Source organism: Homo sapiens, chromosome 2 (assembly GCF_000001405.40).
Source record: "Homo sapiens chromosome 2, GRCh38.p14 Primary Assembly".
NCBI classification, from domain to species: domain Eukaryota; kingdom Metazoa; phylum Chordata; class Mammalia; order Primates; family Hominidae; genus Homo; species Homo sapiens.
In genome coordinates this window covers 73,873,657-73,893,001 of record NC_000002.12, presented here as the reverse complement: position 1 = coordinate 73,893,001, position 19,345 = coordinate 73,873,657, and the positions used below count along the sequence as shown (strand labels likewise).

The following is a 19,345-nucleotide window of genomic DNA, read 5'->3' as shown; positions in this document are numbered from 1 at the left end:
GGCATGAATACCAGAGCAATATAAAACCCCAGAGGCGGATCTTCTTTAAACAAAGTCCCTAAAAAGGCCAGCTGACGGTGTGTTAGCAATATTACCATATAAGGTGGTTTTTTCAATAAATCGCCTTGGGGGTAGGGAAGGGGGGTGGGTAGAGTGAGTTATCATTTGAAAAATGTATGCAAAAGGACTCAGTGGCAACAGCCCCGGTGCTGGTAGATTTGTTCCTTTTATGCTGCACTTGCATAAACAAAACTCACACCAGGCCTTATAAGCTGCCCAGAGTGAGACCAGATGCAGCTGTGCTCCTGGAGTGAGAACCATACCAAGAATGGCAGCGGGCCTCCTCCGTCCACACCTCCCTCCTCAGGCCCTGCTGCATGCGGCCCCTGGGTCTGCCTGGGACGCCCAGGCACTGTCCCCAAAATGGGTGCAATCATGCCTTGTCTGGCACGAGCCTGGGACCAATGAAAGCTGAAGAGAAATGCCTTCCGTACCCAGGAAAGAAATCCTGCGTGCCCTACTCACCTGCTGCACCTTGACACAAGCTCCTAACCCTTGGGCTGAGTTCTCTGAGGGTCTCAGGACACCTTAGGCTTCATTCTCTCTTGGCTCCTTCCTGGTTTTCCTTTAAATATCTCTAAATATCTGCAGACTGAGGGACCTGCTTCAGGGTTGAGGCACACCTAACAAGACTCTTGGCCTGTAGGATTTTCCACAGTCCTGTGATTCTTGAGCTGCTTCTTTTTCTTTTTTGAGATAGAGTCTCGCCCTATCCCCCAGGCTGGAGTGCATTGGTGCAATCTCGGCTCACTGCAACCTCCGCCTCCCAGGTTCAAACAATTCTCCTGCCTTAGCCTCCTGAGTAGCTGAGATTACAGGCACCTGCCACCATGCCCAGCTAATTTTTGTATTTTTAGTAGAGACAGGGTTTCACCATGTTGGCCAGGCTGGTCTCGAGCTCCTGACCTCGTGATCCACCTGCCTTGGCCTACAGGTGTGAGCCACTACGCCTGGACTTCTTTTTGTTTGTTTGTTTTGTTTTTAATTAGACAGGGTCTCGATCTTGAACTCCTGGATTCAAGCAATCCCTCCACCTTGGTCTCCCAAAGTGCTGGGATTACAGGTGTGAGCCACCATGGCTGGCTGATGATTGCTCTTCTTTGTGTAATTCATGTACTATCCCTAGGTAGCTGGTTCATTTCCCACATTATCAGCTACCAGCTCTGCAGTATTACTTTCAACTCCACATTCTCATGGTCCCCCTCCCTCACCCTGATCCAGACTAAAATGATCAATTGCCTATTGGACATCCCAATCCAGATGACTCTCCAGCTCTTCAAACTCATCCTGTCTAAAACTGAACCCTTCTTCCCTACCCTCAAAGCTGCTGTGCCTCCTGGGTTGCCAACTTCCAAGTCCACCCCTCGGCCCTTCAAGCTAGAAGTCAGTCAGTCTAGAACCCTGTGTCTCCCTCATGCTCCCACAACCACCTGGGCACCACAGCCTGGTGCTCCCCCGACCAGAAATGCCCCTCAGCTCTGTGTCCTCCCTCAATCCCTGCTGGCCTGCGCTGCCTCAGGCTCCAGTCCTATCTGGCCTGGAGTGGGGCGCAGCTTCCTGACTGGCCTTCCTGACTCTGCTTCGTCTTCAACACAGAGGTTCCCAAAGCATGGGGACCACCAGAGTGCAGCAGCAGCATGATATGGGAATGTGCTCACAATGCAGATTCTCAGGTGTCACCTAGCCCTATTGAAACAGAAACTCAGTGAATAGGCCTCAGCCATCTGTGTTTCTTAAACTTTCCCCACCCGGTGCCCAGGATACCCCCGCTTCAATAGAAGAAGCATGCATTGCATCCCTGCTAAACGCACAGGGAGTTCCAGGTGGTTTTGGGTCACCTGGTGCAATGGCTTGGTACAGGTCTGGCTTCCTCATTAACTGAAAATTGAGGCAGGAGATGGTGTGAATGAGGAGTGTCCTCTGCTGAGACAGCCCAGAGGAAAGATTTAAAAACACTTTCCTTGAGGACCTGCAGTTGTTCCCTGTGGAGAAGGAACACTGTTGTCATTGTGAGGTTCACTTACTCATCATTTGATCACTGGCCTGCGTGTTTAGTGCCTAAGTCTAAATTCCAGGCCTGTGGAAAGCTTCCTGAGCTTTTCAAGTTCCTAGAAAACCCTCACTGGGGATTCTGGAGGGAAGAGGGCTCCCTTTCCGGAGCTGTGCTGCATAGAAGGTGGCAGTGGATGAGGTGTGAGCTGTCCCAGCATGGACAGAGTGCTCGCAGTCCCAACTGGCCGAGGCAGGTAGCTCAACGCTAAGTGACAGGGTCATAAGCTCCCCCTCTGATTCTCTCTTCTTGTGTGGGAATGAGGCCAGGGCAGGGACAGGGTGCCAATCACCCTTGACCTGATCATGGGTTTAGAGGGGTCATCCTTTCCCTTCTCAGAGTAAGGGTTGTTTCACAGAGTGAGCTTTCTTCTAATCACTCAGCACCGTGGTCAGCGTGCAGATGGGGGCACCTTGCCCTATGGACATTCCCCTCTTAGTTGGCACAGCCAGTCGATAAACAATGAAAAGCCTATAACAAAGGCACTGGTTGTGATCTAGGCTCCAAACAGCCCAGAGACGAGAAAGCAGGGACTAACTGAATAAACTGAAGCTCTGAGGAAATGTTTAGGGAGAGATCAGAAGGTGAGGGAGGTTACACCAGGTACTCGATTTGTTTATATTTAACATTTTTTTCTGGTTTCAAAAATTCAATCAAAAATTTCAAAAAATACAAAAATGTGTGTTTTAGAAAGCAAATGTTCGCTATAATCCCACTTAGACCTAAGTCAGAGAAGGCCACTGTTAAGGGCAATAGGATACCTATTTTAAAAATATTTTTTCCAGATTTTTTTCTAACATTTTAACATTATTTTACAAAAATGGGATTATGTCATTGCATATGTTTTTACAATTGTTCTGAAACTTGTCATGTTCTCTTAATAATACTCTTGGATGTCTTTCAAAATCAGTTTATATAATTTTTTAAACTCTAGCATCGTTTTCCATAGTAGGGATATACCATAAATTATTTGACCAATATCCTATTGATGGGCTCTTGGGTCATTTCCAGCATTTTTACTCATGCAAACATTGCTAACATTAATAAAACTTTGTATATGTGCCTTTGTGCACATGTGGGAGTATTTTCATATGGTAAATTTGTTAAAGTGGAATTGTTTGATTAAGTAAGCACATGTGAAATATTGATGGAACCTGCCAAGTTGTCTTACAAAAATTTGTACCAGGTTATACTCCTGGGAGAGTATGAGACCACCTCCCTCTTCATGTTATTTCAGTTAGCATTAATAAGGTTTTTTTTCAGTACATTACATTTGTTTATTACATTAGAAACATGTCAATTTTCATACGATTGGCCACCTTAGAACTGTTTAGTTTTTTCCCTAATTACAAAAGTAATATATGCAATGATTAAAAAAAAAAAGAGGAAAATATACGAACTAGGTGTTCACATCTTGAGTTATTTCCTTGAGTGGGCAATTGTCCAAACGAGCCTCTCTGCTCATCTGGCTCTCTCTCCTTGTGTCCAGATGAACCATGTGGATCATTGGCAATTACCCATCTTTTAAATGTTTCCTAATCGGGAAGGAGAAACTTAGCATCTTCTTGTTTTAAAATTATTATTATTTTATTGAGACAGGGTCTCGCTCTGTTGCCCAGGCTGGAGTGCAGTGGTGCAATCACTGGAGCCTTGACATCCTGGGCTCAGGTGATTCTCCTGCCTCAGCCTCCATAGTAGCTGGGAATATGGGCAAGCGCCACCCTGCCCTGCTAATTTTATTTTTATTTTTATTTTTTGTAGAGACAGAGTTTCACCATGTTGCCCAGGTTGGTCTTGAACTCCTGGCCTCAAACGATCCAACGGCCTCAGCCTCCCACAGTGTTGGAATTATAGGCATGAGCCACCGCACCCGGCTCATGAAAGTGTAAAATTATGTGGTAACTAATGAGAATGAACACATGTTTTGCTTATATCAACTTTTCTTTTCTTCTTTTTCTTTTTGAGACAGAGTCTCTCTCTGTCACCCAGGCTGGAGTGCAGTGGTGTGATCTTGGCTCACTGCAACCTCTCTGCCTCCTGGGTTCAAGCGATTCTCATGCCTCAGCCTCCCGAGTAGCTGGGATTACAGGTGTGCATCACCATGCCCAGCTAATTTTTGTGTTTTTTAGTAGAGATGGAGTTTCACCCTATTGGCCAGGCTGGTCTGGAACTCCTGACCTCAGGTGATCTGCCCACCTCAGCACCCCAAAGTGCTAGAATTACAGGCATGAGCCACTGTGCCCGACCTAACTTTTTTTTTTTTTTAACTTGTCTTTCTCTGAAAATGGCTGCTTCCTGTTTACTTTTTTTTTCTATTGGATTGTTCACCTTTATCTTCTTGAGTTATGAGAGATCTTGGTATATTATATTAGTGATATAATTAGCCTTTTGCCTACTACAAGTGTTGCAAATATTTTCCCCCCAGTTTAAACATTTGCCTTTCGATTTTGTCTGGTAGCATTTGCCTTACTAAAGTTTAATCAAATGTCTTTCCTGTTTAGTGTCTGTTTTATAACATCCTTAGGAAGGCTGAGCACTTCTTTTTATACATTTTAACTTTTAAAAATTGTAATTGTGGAAAACACATATAATATAAAATTTACAATATTAACCATTTAAAAATGTATGGTTCTATATGGTTTTTGTTTTGTTTTGTTTTGTTTTGTTTTTTTGAGACGGTGTGTCACTCCTGCTGCCCAGGCTGGAATGCAATGATGCAATCTCGGCTCACTGCAACCTCCGCCTCCCGGGTTCAAGCGATTCTCCTGCTTCAGCCTCCTGAGTAGCTGGGATTACAGGCACCCACCACCATGCCCAGCTAACTTTTGTATTTTCAGTAGATACGGGGTTTCACCATGTTGGCCAGGCTGGTCTCAAACTCCTGACCTCAGGTGATCCATCTGCCTCAGCCTCCCAAAGTGCTGGGATTAGAGGTGTGAGCCACCGTGCCCTGCGGTTCTGTACTATTAAGTATATTCACATTGTTATACAACCAGTCTCCAGAACGTTTTTATCTTGCAAAACTGAAACAGTATCCATTAAACAACTCCTCACTTTGCCCTCCCCCAGCCCCTGGCAACAGCTCTTCTACTTGCTGTCTCTGAATCTGACAACTCTGAATACCTTGTAAGAGTGGAGTCATACAGTGTTTGCCCTCAAGGTTCATCCATGCTGTAGTATGAGTCAAAATTTCCTTGCTTTGTATTTATGTAATTTTATTTTTCGGAGACAGGGTCTTACTTTGTCACCCAGGCTGGTGTGCAGTGGCGTGATCATAGCTCACTGCAGCCTCAAATTCCTGGGCTTGAGCAATGCTCCTGCCTCAACCTCCCAAACAGCTAGGACTATAGGCATGCTCCACCACACCCAGCTAATTTTTAAAAAATTGTAATTTTTGTGGAGGAGGCGGGAGGCGGGTCTCAATATGTTGCCTAGGCTGGTCTTGAACTCCTGGCTTCAAGCGATCCTCCCGCCTGCGTCTCCCAAAGTTCAGGGATTACAGGAATGACCCAATGTGTGGCCTCCTTGCTTTTTAAAGCTGAATAATACTTCATTGTATCTCTATAACACATTCTGTTTATCCATTCATTTATTGAGTGACACTTGAAGTCCTTTCACTTCTTGGCTATTGTGAATAATGCCACTATGAACATGGATGTACAAATAGCTCTTTGAGACCCTGCTTTTACTTCTTTTGGGTATACACCCAGATACAGAATTGCTGGACCATCTGGTAATTTTCTTTTTACTTTTTTGATGAAGTGCCAAATGGTTTTCCATAGGGACCACATCATTTTCCATTTCCACCAACAGTGGTGCACAATGATTCCAATTTCTCCACATCCTTGCCAACACTTTGTTATTTTCGGGGTTGTATTTTATTTTCTAAAGTAGCCATCCTAATGGGTGGCTACTTTTTAAAAATTGTATATGAGCGTCGTGTTTTAATTAAACAGACTTTTTTTTTTTTTTTGAGATAGAGTCTTTCTCTGTCACCAGGCTGGAGTGCAATGGCGTGATCTCAGCCCACTGCAACCTCCATCTCCCGGGTTCAAGTGATTCTCCTGCCTCAGCCTCCTCAGTAGCTGGGACTACAGGCATGCACCACCACACCCAGCTAATCTTTGTATTTTTAGTAGAGATGGGGTTTCACCATGTTGGCCAGGATGATCTTGATCTCTTGACCTCATGATCCACCTGCTTTGGCCTCCCAAAACGCTGGGATTACAGGGGTGAGCCACCGTGCCCAGCCTAGACTATTTTTTTAGAGTAGTTTTAGGTTCACAGAAACATTGAACAGAAAGTATAGAGAGTTTCCATTACGCCCAACACCCACACACTCTCAGGTTTCTCCACTATCAAAGTCATATACCAATGTGGTTCATTTGTTATAACCAATGAACCTACATTGACACATCATTATCACCCAAAGTTCATAGTTTGCATTAGGGTTTGCTCTTGGTGCTGTACATTCAATGGGTTTTGACAAATGTATAATGCCATGTATCCACCCTTATACTGTAGTGTCATACGGACTAATTTCACTGACCATCTATTCATCCTTTCCCCTCCACAACCCCTGGCAACCATTGATCTTTTTGCTGTCTCCATAGTTTTGCCTTTTCTTGAATGCCATATAATTGAAATCGTACAGTATGTGGCCTTTTTAAGGTTGACTTCTTTTACTTAGCAATAGAGATTTAAGTTTTCTCCATGTCTTTTTTACGGTTTGATATCTTATTTCTTTTTAGTGCTGAGTGATATTTCATTGTTTGGATGTACTACAGTTTACATATCCACTCACCTACTGAAGGGCATCTTAGTTGCCTCCAAGTTTTGGCAGTTATGCATAAAGCTGCTCTAAACATCCTTTTGGGCTGGGCGCAGTGGCTCACACCTGTAATCCCAGCACTTTGGGAGGCTGAGGCAGGCAGATCACCTGAGATCAGGAGTTCGAGACCACCCTGGCCAACATGGCGAAACCGCATCTCTACTAAAAATACAAAATTAGCTGGGCACGGTGGCACATGCCTGTAGTCCTAGCTACTTGGGAGGCTGAGGCAGAAGAATTACTTGAACCTGGGAGGCAGAGGTTGCCATGAGCCCAGATCGCACCACTGCACTCCAGCCTGGGCAACAAAGACAGACTCTGTCTCAAAAAAAAATCCTTTTGCAAGTTTCTGTGTGAGCATAAGTTCTCAGCTCATTTGGGTAAATACCAAGGAGTGCAATTGCAAGACCTTCTGGTAAGAATATAGTTAGTTTTGTAAGAAACTTCCAAATTGTCTTGCAAAGTAGCTGTACCATTTGGCATTCCCACTGGCAATGAATGAGAGTTCCTGTTGCCCCACATCCTCATGGTTTTGATTTGCATTTGAGCATTTCAACATAACAACATTTTTTCCCACTTGACAGTCATTGATTTTTAATTTCTTCAAGGGAAGAAAATAGCAAATATTTATTCAGAAACTTTTAAAAATAAACGTTTGTCATTTTATTTTTGTCAAAGTAAAAATTATTTTCATATGATTTAAAAAGAACACTCATTCAAAAAACTTCAGGAATAAGACAAAGTAGAAAAAATTCCCACCATCCTGATAACCATTATGAACTTAAATCTTTCCAGACATTTTCAAGATATAAACACATTTAGAAAAATGGTATCAGGGCCAGGTGTCGTGGCTCATGCCTGTAATCCCAGTACTTTGGGAGACTGAGGTGGAAGGAATGCTTGAGGCCAGGAGTTCAAGACCAGCCTGGGCAAAATAGTGAGACCCTGTCTCTAAAAAAAATTTAAAAATTAGTTGGGTGTAGTGGTGTGGATCTGTAGTCCCAGTTACTTGGGAGGCTGAGGTAGGAGGAGCCTTTGAGCCCAGGAGTTCAAGGCTGCAGTGAGCTATGATTGTGCCACTGTACTCCAGCCTGGGCCACAGAGTGAGACTCTGTCTCTAAAAAATAAATAAATAAATAAAAGGAAAAAGAAAACTGGTAGCATCCTGCACATGCTATTTTATATACTACACGATTTATTTTGCTTTTTATTATCTTTCATTTGTCACTAGAAAGTCAGCTCCATTCTTCTAAAAGGAAGGCAGCAATTCCTTTTATTTTTTGCTCACTGCTGTATCCCCAGCACCTAGAAGAGGGTCTGACACATGTAGGCACTCAATAAATATTCATTAAATAATGCAATAAACAAATCCCACTTTTACAACATAACAAAATGTTTTGGAATTTCTTTTTTCTGTGTCCATAGTATAATTTTCATCATCATCTATTTTATTGGCTGTGTATATTTCAAGGTATTTATTGAGCTTTACTGACTGACCACGTAAGTGGTTTCTGATTGGTCACTATTACAAACAATACTGTGGTGAATGTGCTTTTACTTATATTTGTGTACCTGTGAGATTATCTCTTTACAGCAATTTAAAAAGAGAAGTTCCTTTGTCAAATGGAATGCATATTTTAATTATAAACCATTTTTGCTAAGCCAGACCTCCAGAAAATGATTGCAATTTATTCTCCCACTCAGGCACAAGAGTGCTTATTTTCATTTTGTGCAACCTAGCTAGACAGCATAAAACTTGTTAATTTTTGCTGTCTAATAGGTAAAAAATAGTGTTGCACTGGGTTTTGAGTTTGGTTATTAGTGAGCTGCAAATCTTTTATTTTTTACTGTTCCTTTATATATCTTTTCGGAATTGCCTATTTGTGTTTTTGCATTGTTATTAAATTGCTTGATCCTTTTTTATTGATTTACAATAGCTGTTAAATAAAAGATAATTAATCTTTTCTATGTCATGACTGTTGCAAATATTCCTAGTTTGTCATTTCTTTTAAAATTACATTCATGGTAGGCCACCTGCTTGGGTCCCCTTCCACGCTGTGGAAGCTTTGTTCTTTTGCTCTTCATAATAAATCTTGCTATAAAAAAAAAAAGAAAGAAAGAAAAATACATTCATGGTAGCTTTTGCCAAACAGAAGTTTCACTAATTTTTTTTTATTTGAGGGATAACATACAGACAGTAAAGTAAACCACCAATTTTAAGTGCTCAGTGTCTTCTTCTTTAGAAATGTGCATATTTGAGGTGTAAACATGATGTTATGGGGTACATAGAGACAGGAAAGTGGTTACAATAGTGAAGCAAATTGATGTATCTCTCATTTCACATAGTTACATTGTGACAAGAGCATCTAAAATCTACTTATTTAACAAGAATCCCCTATACAATACAGTTTTATGACCTATAGTCCTCAGGGTGTACATTAGATCTCTAGACTTGTTCATCCTACATACCTACCTTCTACTTTGTATCCTTTGACTTACATCCCAATTCCTTCCCCTCTTCACCCCTCCCCACTCCAGCCCCACCACTATTTTAACCACTGTCTCTATCAGGTTTCCAGGTAAGCTCTCCCAGTCAATAATCCTCCCAAGTTAATCCTCTGATAATGTTTTAACTTGATGTAATAAAATCTGAGGCCAGGCGCGGTGGCTCATGCCTGTAATCCCAGCACTTTGGGAGGCCAAGGCAGGTGGATCGCCTAAGGTCAGAAGTTCGAGACCAGCCTGATCAACATGGTGAAACCTCGTCTCTACTAAAAATACAAAAACTAGCTGGGTGTAGTGGCGGGCGCCTGTAATCCCAGCTACTCAGGAGGCTGAGGCAGGAGAATCGCTTGAACCAGGAAGGCAGAGGTTGCAGTGAGCCGAGATCGCGCCATTGCACTCCAGCTTGGACAACAAGAGTGAAACTCCGCCTCAAAAAATAAAATAAAATCTGTTCTTCCTTCATGGCATCTATCTTTGTGCCCTGTTTAGGAAAGCATTCCCCAGCTCATACTTGTGTAAACATTTCACTGCCTTTTATTCTGTCACTTTCATTATTTCTATTGTTATATTGAAATCTTTAACCCAGCTAAAATTTAGTCTAAACTGTAAGATAATGATCAAATTCCTCTGTCTCCTCCGTTCCCCAAGGGCTACTTCCCAATGTCGTTTATTAACTAGTCAATACCATTTATGTATTAAGTAGTCAACACTATCTCCATGATTTGAAATATTCCCTTTTTCTATGCCCTTTTCCTTTATTTCTGTTTATTGCAGCAACATTATCTCATCATTGTAAATATAGCTTTTAATATCAGCAATATTGCATCTTCACTCTCTTTCAAACATTTCTTCGTTATTATTACTTATTTATTCTCCAAGAAAAACTATATTTATTCATTTATTTATTTTTCAGACAGGGTCTGGCTCTGTCACCCAGGCTGAAGTGCAGTGGCACAATCATGGCTCACTGCAACCTTTACCTCCCAGGCCCCAGGGTTCCTCCCACCTCAGCCTCCCAAGTAGCAGGGACTACATGTGCACACCACCATGCCCGACTAATTAAAAAAAAATTTTTTTGGAGCGATGGGGTCTCCCGATGTTGCCCAGGCTGGTCTCAAACTCCTGGGCTCAAGTAATCCTTCTGCCTCAGCCTCCCAAAGTGCTAGGATTACAGGCATGAGTCACCACCACACCCAGCTCACATTATTTTTCATATTAAGAAAGTATTAATCCATTATAAGTTTATTAACAATTATTAATGAAAAGAGTTGGATTTAATAATTTTTTTCAGCCTCTCAGTGATCCTCTAAGATAAAATATTTTAAAATCACCTGTTTGAAGGCATCAGAGAAGCATTCAGTTCACGTTTCTAGAGGTGAGGTTTCTAGAGAGAAAGAAAACTCATTTGGATGAATCTGATATTCTATGTCACTTTCCTCTTGAGACATCTTTCCATGTTAAGCAGTACAAGGCCGTAGATCAAGTTAAGCAAGAAGCAGTAACTAAGAGACTGAGAAGCTAATTAGAGTTTTAGCAGACTGATGGGGTTGGGGGAAAAATACTGGAGTTCAGAGCCCACTGTGGAGGAAAAACACTGTTAAACACTCCAGGCTTTCTGTTGGGATCTGTGATAGTTAATTCTATGTGTCAATTTGGCTAGGCCACACTATCCAGGTATTTAGTGGAACATTAATCTAGATGTTTCTGTGAAGTTATTTTTCAGATGAGATCTATATTTAAATCAGTAGACTTTGAGTAAAGCAGGTTACCCTTCATGATGTGAGTGGGCCTCATCCAATCATTTGAAAGCCATAATAGAAAAAGACTGACTTTTCTGGAAGCAAAAAGAATTCTGCCAGCAGATTGCCTTTAAACTCAAACTGCAGACCCCAATTCTTTCCCAGCCTACTCTGCAGATTTTAGATCTGCCAAGCCTCCACAACCATATGAACAAATTCCTTAGAATCCTCTCTCTCTCTCTCTCTATATATATATATATATGTATATATACACAAACAAATATATATATAAACAAAAACAGACACATAGATCAATGGAACAGAATAGAGAGCCCAGAAATAAGTCCACACACCTACAATAATCTGATTTCAACAAAAGCGACCAAAACAAGTGATGGGGAAATGGAGAAAGGACTCCCTATTCAATAAATGGTGCTGGGATAATGTTTTACTAAATACCTGGGTACTATGACCTAGCCATAACTTCCGTATCTGGTGCTAGCCATATACAGAAGATTGAAACTGGCCCCTTTCCTTACACCATATACAAAAATCAACTCAAGAATGATTAAAGACTTAAATGTAAAATCCAAAACTACAAAACCCTGGAAGACAACCTAGGCAATACCTTTCTGGACAGAGAAACAGGCAAAGATTTCATGATGAAGATGCCAAAGACAATTGCAACAAAAACAAAAATTGACAAATGGGATCTAACTAAACTAAAGAGATTCTTTTTCATTTTTCTTTTCTTTTTTTTTTTTTTTGAGACAGAGTTGCACTCTTATTGCCCAGGCTGGAGTGCAATGGTGCGATCTCAGCTCACTGCAACCTCTGCCTCTGGCGTTTAAGTGATTCTCCCTCCTCAGCTTCCCGAGTAGCTGATATTACAGGCGCCCACCACCATACCCAGCTAATTTTTGTATTTTTAGTAGAGATGGAGTTTCATCATGTTGGTCAGTCTGGTCTCGAACTCCTGACCTCAAGTGATCCACCTGCCTCGGCCTCCCAAAGTGCTGGGATTACAAACTAAAGAGCTTCTGCACAGCAAAAGAAACTATCAACAGTGAACAAACAATGTACAGAATGGGGGAAAATTTTTGCAAAGTACGCATCTGACAAAGGTCTAATAGCCAGCATTTATAAGGAACTTAAACAAATTTACGAGAAAAAACAAACGACCCCATTAAAAAGTGGGCAAAGGACGTGAACAGACACTTTTCAAAAGAAGACATACATGCAGCCAACAAGCATATGAAAATAAACTCAACAACACTGATCATTAGAAAAATGCAAATCAAAATCACAATGAGTTACCATCTCACACCAGTCAGAATGGCTATTATTAAAAAGTAAAAAAATAACAGGTGCTGGCGAGGTTGTAGAGATAAAGGAATGCTTATACACTGTTGGTGGGAATGTAAATTAGTTCACCCATTATAGAAAACAGTGTGGTAGTTCCTCAAAGACCTAAAAACAGAAATACCATTCCACCCAGCAATCCTATTACTGGGTATATACCCAAAGGAATATAAATTGCTCTATCATAAAGACACATGTATGCGTATGTTCATTGCAGCACTATTCACAATAGCAAAGGCATAGAATCAATCTACATGCCCATCTATGATAGACTGGATAGAGAAAATGTGGTACATACATATACACCATTAAAAACTACGCAGCCATAAAAAAGAATGAGATCATGTCTTTTGCAGAAACATGGATGGAGCTGGAGGCCATTATCCTTAGCAAACTAACACAGGAACAGAAAATCAAATAATACACGCCCTCACTTATAAGTGGGAGCTAAAGCTAAAATAGATGGACACAATGAGGGGAAAAACAGGCACTGGGGCATACCTGAGGGTGGAGAGTGGAGGGTGGAGAGTGGAGGGTGGAGGGTGGAGGGTGGAGGGTGGGAGGAGGGAGGATCAGGAAAAATAACTGCTGGGTACTAGGCTTAATACCTGGGTGACGAAATAATCTGTACAACAAACTCTCGTGATACAAGTTTACATATATAATGAACCTGCACATGTACCCTTGAACTTAAAATAAAATTTAAAAACAAAGCAAAAAGATTGTTGGGCTGGTTATTTAATGATAAACTGACAATATGCTGCTTATAAGAGATACTCCTTAAATGCAAGGATATAGTAATATTGAAAGTAAGAAGCACTAATCAAAAGAAAGTTGTATCAATCTCAAAGTAGATTTTAAGGCAAGAAGCAGTCCTAAAGATAAAAAGAGACATTTTATAACATAAAAGGGTCAGTTCATCAGAGGATATAACAATTCCATATTTGTATGCATCTAATAACATAACTTATATATACATGCCAAATGTGTGTGTGTATATATGTATATGTGTGTATATGTAAATAAATAGAGCTCAAAAATGGACTAAACACAAAAGAGAAATAGATAAATTTGCAATCATATCAGGAGATTTTAGCACAACTTTCTCAGTAATGGACAGAAGAAGGAGCCAAAAAAATCAGGAACAGTATAGAGAATTTGAACAACAGGATGAAATCTTATCTGTGTAATGGAGTGTTGAGTGAACAGTTTTCTATTCCCCCAAATTTTCTTCTCTTTCTTTCTTCTCTCTCTTTCTTTCTTTTCTGTCTCTCTTCCTTCCTTCCTTTTGTTGTTATTGTTGTTGTTGTTGAAATGGAGTCTCACTCTGTCACCCAGGCTGAAGTGCAGTGGCACAATCTCGGCTCACTGCAACCTCCACCTCCTGGGTTCAAGTGATTCTCCTGCTTCAGCCTCTTGAGTAGCTGGGATTACAGGTGCCTGCCACCATGCCGACCTAAATTTTGTATTTTTAGTAGAGACGAGGTTTCACCATGTTGGCCAGGCTGGTTTCAAATTCCGGACTCAAATGATCCACCCACCTTGGCCTCCCAAATTGCTGGGATTACAGGCGTGAGACACCGCGCCCGGCCTCTTATCTGCTTTTTATTTCAACTGTTCTAGTGTTAAGCTGTACTGGTGATAGCTTTCTCTCATTGGCCACTCCAGGTCATCTCTTTCAGGGACCCCTGACCACACAAATACCTGTTTAAATTCCTCCATTTACTTCCCATATCATAAAGAAAAACAAAGACCTCTAGTTGATAATACTGAATTCAATCTTTAGCTTTCTCTTCAATCCATGACTGACTAAAAGTTTTGTTTCTGAGGATGATTTTCATCTGGATAAAAAACAACTTCCTGGTCATTAGAGAAATGCAAATCAAAACCACAATGAGATACCATCTCACGCCAGTTAGAATGGTGATCATTATAAAGGGAGGAAACAACAGATGCTGGCAAGGATGTGGAGAAATAGGAACGCTTTTACACTGTTGGTGGGAATGTAAATTAGTTCAACCATTTTGGAAGTCAGTGTGGTGATTCCTCAAGGATCTAGAACCAGAAATACCATTTGACCCAGCAATCCCATTACTGGCTATATACCCAAAGGATTATAAATCATTCTACTATAAAGACACATGCACACGTATGTTTCTTGCAGCAATATTCACAATAGCAAAGACACGGAACCAACTCAAATGCCTATCCGTGATAGACTGGATCAAGAAAATGTGGCACATATCCACTACGGAATATTATGCAGCCATAAAAAAGGATGAGTTCACATCCTTTGCAGGGACATGGATGAAGCTGGAAACCATCATCCTCAGCAAACTAACACAGGAACAGAAAACTAAACACTGCATGTTCTCACTCGTAAGTGTGAGTTGAACAATGAGAACACATGGACACAGGGAGGGGAACATCACACACCAAGGCCTATTGGGGGGTGGGGGACAAGGGGAGGGAGAGCACTAGGACAAATACCTAATGCATGTGGGGCTTAAACCTAGACAACAAGTTGATAGATGCAGCAAAACACTATGGCACATATATACCTATGTAACAAAGCTGCACGATCTGCACATGTATCCCAGAACTTGTAAAGTAAAAACAAACAAACGAAAAAACTTCCCAATAGTTATGGTTGTTCCTAAAATGAATCCCAACGTAAACAAGAAGGCAGCAAATGCGGTGAATCCAGGCGGAACAACTGAAAGAGGATCTCTCCAGGCTGCACTTGTATCAGTGTTTACTGTGTTTCCTCCAAAGAAGAACCGATTACAAAGCTGTATGTACATAGTGAAAATAAAAATGAAAGCAGCATGGATACAAGCCAGAGGTGCTAAAAGAAGGAACAGTGTGAACGAAGCATGATTTTGGTAACCATAATAGTCGTGAATGTATGATGAAATTCACACTTCCTCCAGTTGTATGTAAGGGCTGATATCACAATACAGAGTCAATCATGGCCACTGCAGAACATACTGCTGTAACATCAAGGGCTGTGATGGGACCCTTTCTTTAATTCTTGGAGATTTTCAAACTTGATAACTGAGCCGAATGTATGCATTTTGGCAAGGAAGAATGTCTTCCTACTTTTAAAGAATTACAGAGTTGTCTTTTCTGTGCACACATTTCCATGTGCCACAAGTCCCAGTGTGTTCTTTGTCATGCCTTCAAGTTGTGACACGTTAACATGGATTGTGCCATTTTCACCGTCAAGCACTCAAAGCTGTTTATCTTAACCAGGAGAATCAAGTTTCTTGGTTTGAAACCCAACCTCAGTCTGCTCCCTGGTGCCCACTCCTCAGCCATGGCATACTTGGGGAGTAGAGAGAGCCAGGGCACACCAGAACAGATTTTCTCCTCTTTGGCTGACTCCATCATGAGCACCTCAGTTCAGAGTAAGCAGAAAGCAAATCTTGGTCTCCAGAGGCTGGAATGCAGGACCCATGTGTCTCCTGCCAGCGTGCTTGCTGAGACTCAGCAATAAAGTATTTTAAAATTAAGGTATGTACATCTTTTTAGATACAGTGCTATTGCACAGTTAATAGAGTACAGTGTAGTGTAAACATAATTTTTATATGCACTAGGAAACAAAAAAATGTGTGCAACTTGCTTTACTGTGGTGGTCTGGAATCAAATATTCAGTATCTCTGAATGTTCAGTTTGTCTGAACACCGCTCTCTGCTTTCCATGTGTTCTGAGCCTTGAGTGGCTTGGGAGGTACCCCAAGATCTGGGCTCCAGTAACCCCACTTCTCTTATTATCAGGCAGTCTCTCACTCCCACTCCCATACTTCCTGGCAAGCACTTGGGTGTGTGTTTCCCAGCCTCCCTATCCTCATCTTGGGAGACAGGAGAAGCTGGGGATGGTGGTGATGGGGAAAAAGGGGGCTAGAAGCCTCCCCACAGGATGGTTCTTTTAAAAGTCAAGCTCTACCCAACAACTCAGGCCTGCCTACCCAGAAGGGTAGCTTTTATTTTTTTATTTTGGAGACAAGAGTCTTGCTCTGTCACCCAGGTTGGAGGACAGTGGCCCAATCATGGCTCACTGCAGCCTCGACCTCCTTGGCTCAAGCGCTCCTCCCACCTCAGCCTCCTGAGTAGTTGGCACTATAGGTGCAAACCACCATGCCTGGCTGCTTTTTGTATTTTTTGTAGAGACTGGGTCTCACCACATTGCCCAGGCTGGTCTCAAAGTCCTGGACTCAAGTGATCCTCCTGCCACAACCTCCTAAAGTGCTAGGATTACAGCTGTGAGCCACCATGCCTGGCCAAGGGTGTCTTTTAAATGAAAGTAGGGGCTGGGCACGGTGGCAACTACTGGACTTAGGCCTTATTACTATTATTGTTATATTATCCATAGTTGCCATGTATGGAGTCGTGTGTGTATGCTGCAAATTGTACTGAGCCATGTGTATGCATTATCTTATTTAATCTTGTTTTTTTTTTTTTTTTTTTGAGACAGTCTCACTCTGTCACCCAGGATGGAGTGCGGTGGTGCAATCTCGACTCACTGCAACCTCTGCCTCCCAGGCTCAAGTGATTTTCCTGTCTCATCCTCCCGGGTAGCTGGGATTACAGGTGCCAGCAGCCATGCCCAGCTAATTTATGTATGTTTTCAGTAGAGACAGGCTTTCACCATATTGGTCAGGCTGGTCTGGAACTCCTGACCTCAAGTGATCTGCCCGCCTCGGCCTCCCAAAGTGCTGGGATTACAGGCATGAGCCACCATGCCTGGCCTAATCCTGGTATTATTTACATTTTGAAACGTTGAAGACTGTGAGACCAGGGAGGTCAGTTTACTTTTTGAAGTCATGCAACCAGTAAGTGAGGAAGCCAGGAATATCCCCGGTCAGTCTCGCCCCTGCACCTGCCCTCGTAAGCTTGGCATTATGCCTCCCCTAGTACTGAGGGAGAAAGCTCTACTTGCAACTTGGTGTTAGCTGAGAACTATTAAAATCATCACTTGCAGTGTTCTGAAGGTGAAGTTCTCACATAACAACATAACGCAAATAACTAAGAATCAGTTTTAGTTTCAAAATGTTACTGCAAATCTGGGTCCTCCTTTCCATACATTTGGTTTAAGAAGGATTTTTGGGTAACCAAAAATGACCTTTAACAAGTCAAATGAAGAAGCTGTGAAGAACCAAGATAGGAAGAGGCCACTCAGGACTTCATCAAAGTTACAGTTTATCCTACATTTTTCACGGTCTTTATTTATTTTTTTTTGAGATGGAGTCTCCCTCTGTCGCCAGACTGGAGTGCAGTGGTGTGATCTTGGCTCACTGCAACCTCCACCTCCCGGGTTCAAGCGATTCTCCTGCCTCAGCCTCCTGAGCAGCTGGGATTACAGGCACGCACCACCATGCCCGGTTAATTTTTGTATTTTTAGTAGAGACGGGGTTTCACCATGTTGGCCAGGCTGGTCTCGATCTCCTGACCTCGTGATCCACCCGCCTCAGCCTCCCAAAGTGTTGGGATTATAGACGTGAGCCACTGGGCCCGGCCTTTCACTGTCTTAAAAATACTTTACTTCAATACATTGTGGTAAGAATTGAATCTGGCTGATAGATCTCTGGCAACAAGGGTGGACTCTGTAAGTTTTCTGAGTTATTCTGGAAAGTGGGTTTGTGTGGGGCCCAATGCTGAGTAACACCTAGGAAGTTCACTTCCTCCAGCTCTTACAAAATGGGGTCAACTGCCCCAAGTTTTATAAATATGAGGCAAGTCTCTGACTAGAACTCAGTTATGGTCCTTCACTGCCCAGGCAATTTTAAAACTTGACCCTAATCTAAAGCACACACATAGAACTTTCTGCCTCTGGAGTTGTCAATGCTTCTGAATCGTGAGCTCCAATCCTCAGTTTTATTGATTGCTTTATTTATTTATTGTGTTCATTTTTATTTTCTTACTCTATGGACGTGGCTTTGTTTGGCTAGACACAGAGTCCAGTTTAACTTGCCTTCAATAAGGACATCCTGTATCTCCTCTAACTCAAATGAAAAGTCTATTTGTTTATTGGCCATTCTACCCAAATTCCATGCCAGCTTTTTAACAAATTGTATAAATTGGGATTCTCAGATCAGCATTTGACATAAGGAACAGATGAGCTTTAAATAATAATTCCACGATAGGCTGCTACTGCCATAATTTTTGCTTTATGGTAGCAAGAATAATATCAAATCATTTGCAACTTTTATTGACCTATCCTCAGCTGTGGGCCCTGGCTGAATTGATTGGGCACTGCTCTTCTGCTTCATGGGTCAGAGCTGTGGGAACAACTTTCCTGAGGGCTGATCCAGGCTGGGCTCTGACACCATGTACTTTTCCACTCATTAAAAAAAAAAAAAAAATCTGATGCCGTCTTTGGATGAGCTGGTTGCATAGCCTCCTTTGCTATTAGGAAAAAAAAAAAAAAAAAAAAGGAGGCTGGGCATAATGGTTCATGCCTATAATCCAAGCACTTTGGGGAGGCCAAGTCGGGAGGATTGCTTGAGGCCAGGAGTTTGAGACCAGCTTGGGTAACATAGCAAGACCCTGTCTCTACAAAAAACTTAAAAGATTAGCCAGGCATGGTGGTGCACATCTCTAGTCCCAGCTACTTGGGAGGCTGAGGTGGGAGGATCACTTGAGCCCAAGAGGTTGAGGCTACAGTGAGCTATAATAGGGCCACTGCACTCCGGCCTGGGTGACAGAGCAAGTCCTCCCTCAAAAACAAACAACCCTCCCCGCTAAAAAAACCCAGAAAAACAAAAACCACACTCACACAAAAGAAAAAGGAATATTC

The 19,345-nt window shown here is 42.0% G+C and overlaps 1 pseudogene, besides 1 other annotated feature; it reads right to left on the bottom strand.

The window, feature by feature from the left end:
- Window positions 105–918: an enhancer, noted in NCBI's record as "H3K27ac-H3K4me1 hESC enhancer chr2:74119211-74120024 (GRCh37/hg19 assembly coordinates)". NCBI's record gives its function as "activates a minimal SCP1, AML or CMV promoter by ChIP-STARR-seq in naive H9 embryonic stem cells {active_cell/tissue: H9 hESC(naive)}" and the evidence as "EXISTENCE:reporter gene assay evidence [ECO:0000049][PMID:30033119]".
- LOC100420774 (zDHHC palmitoyltransferase 6 pseudogene) lies at window positions 15,183–15,820 on the bottom strand (annotated as a pseudogene).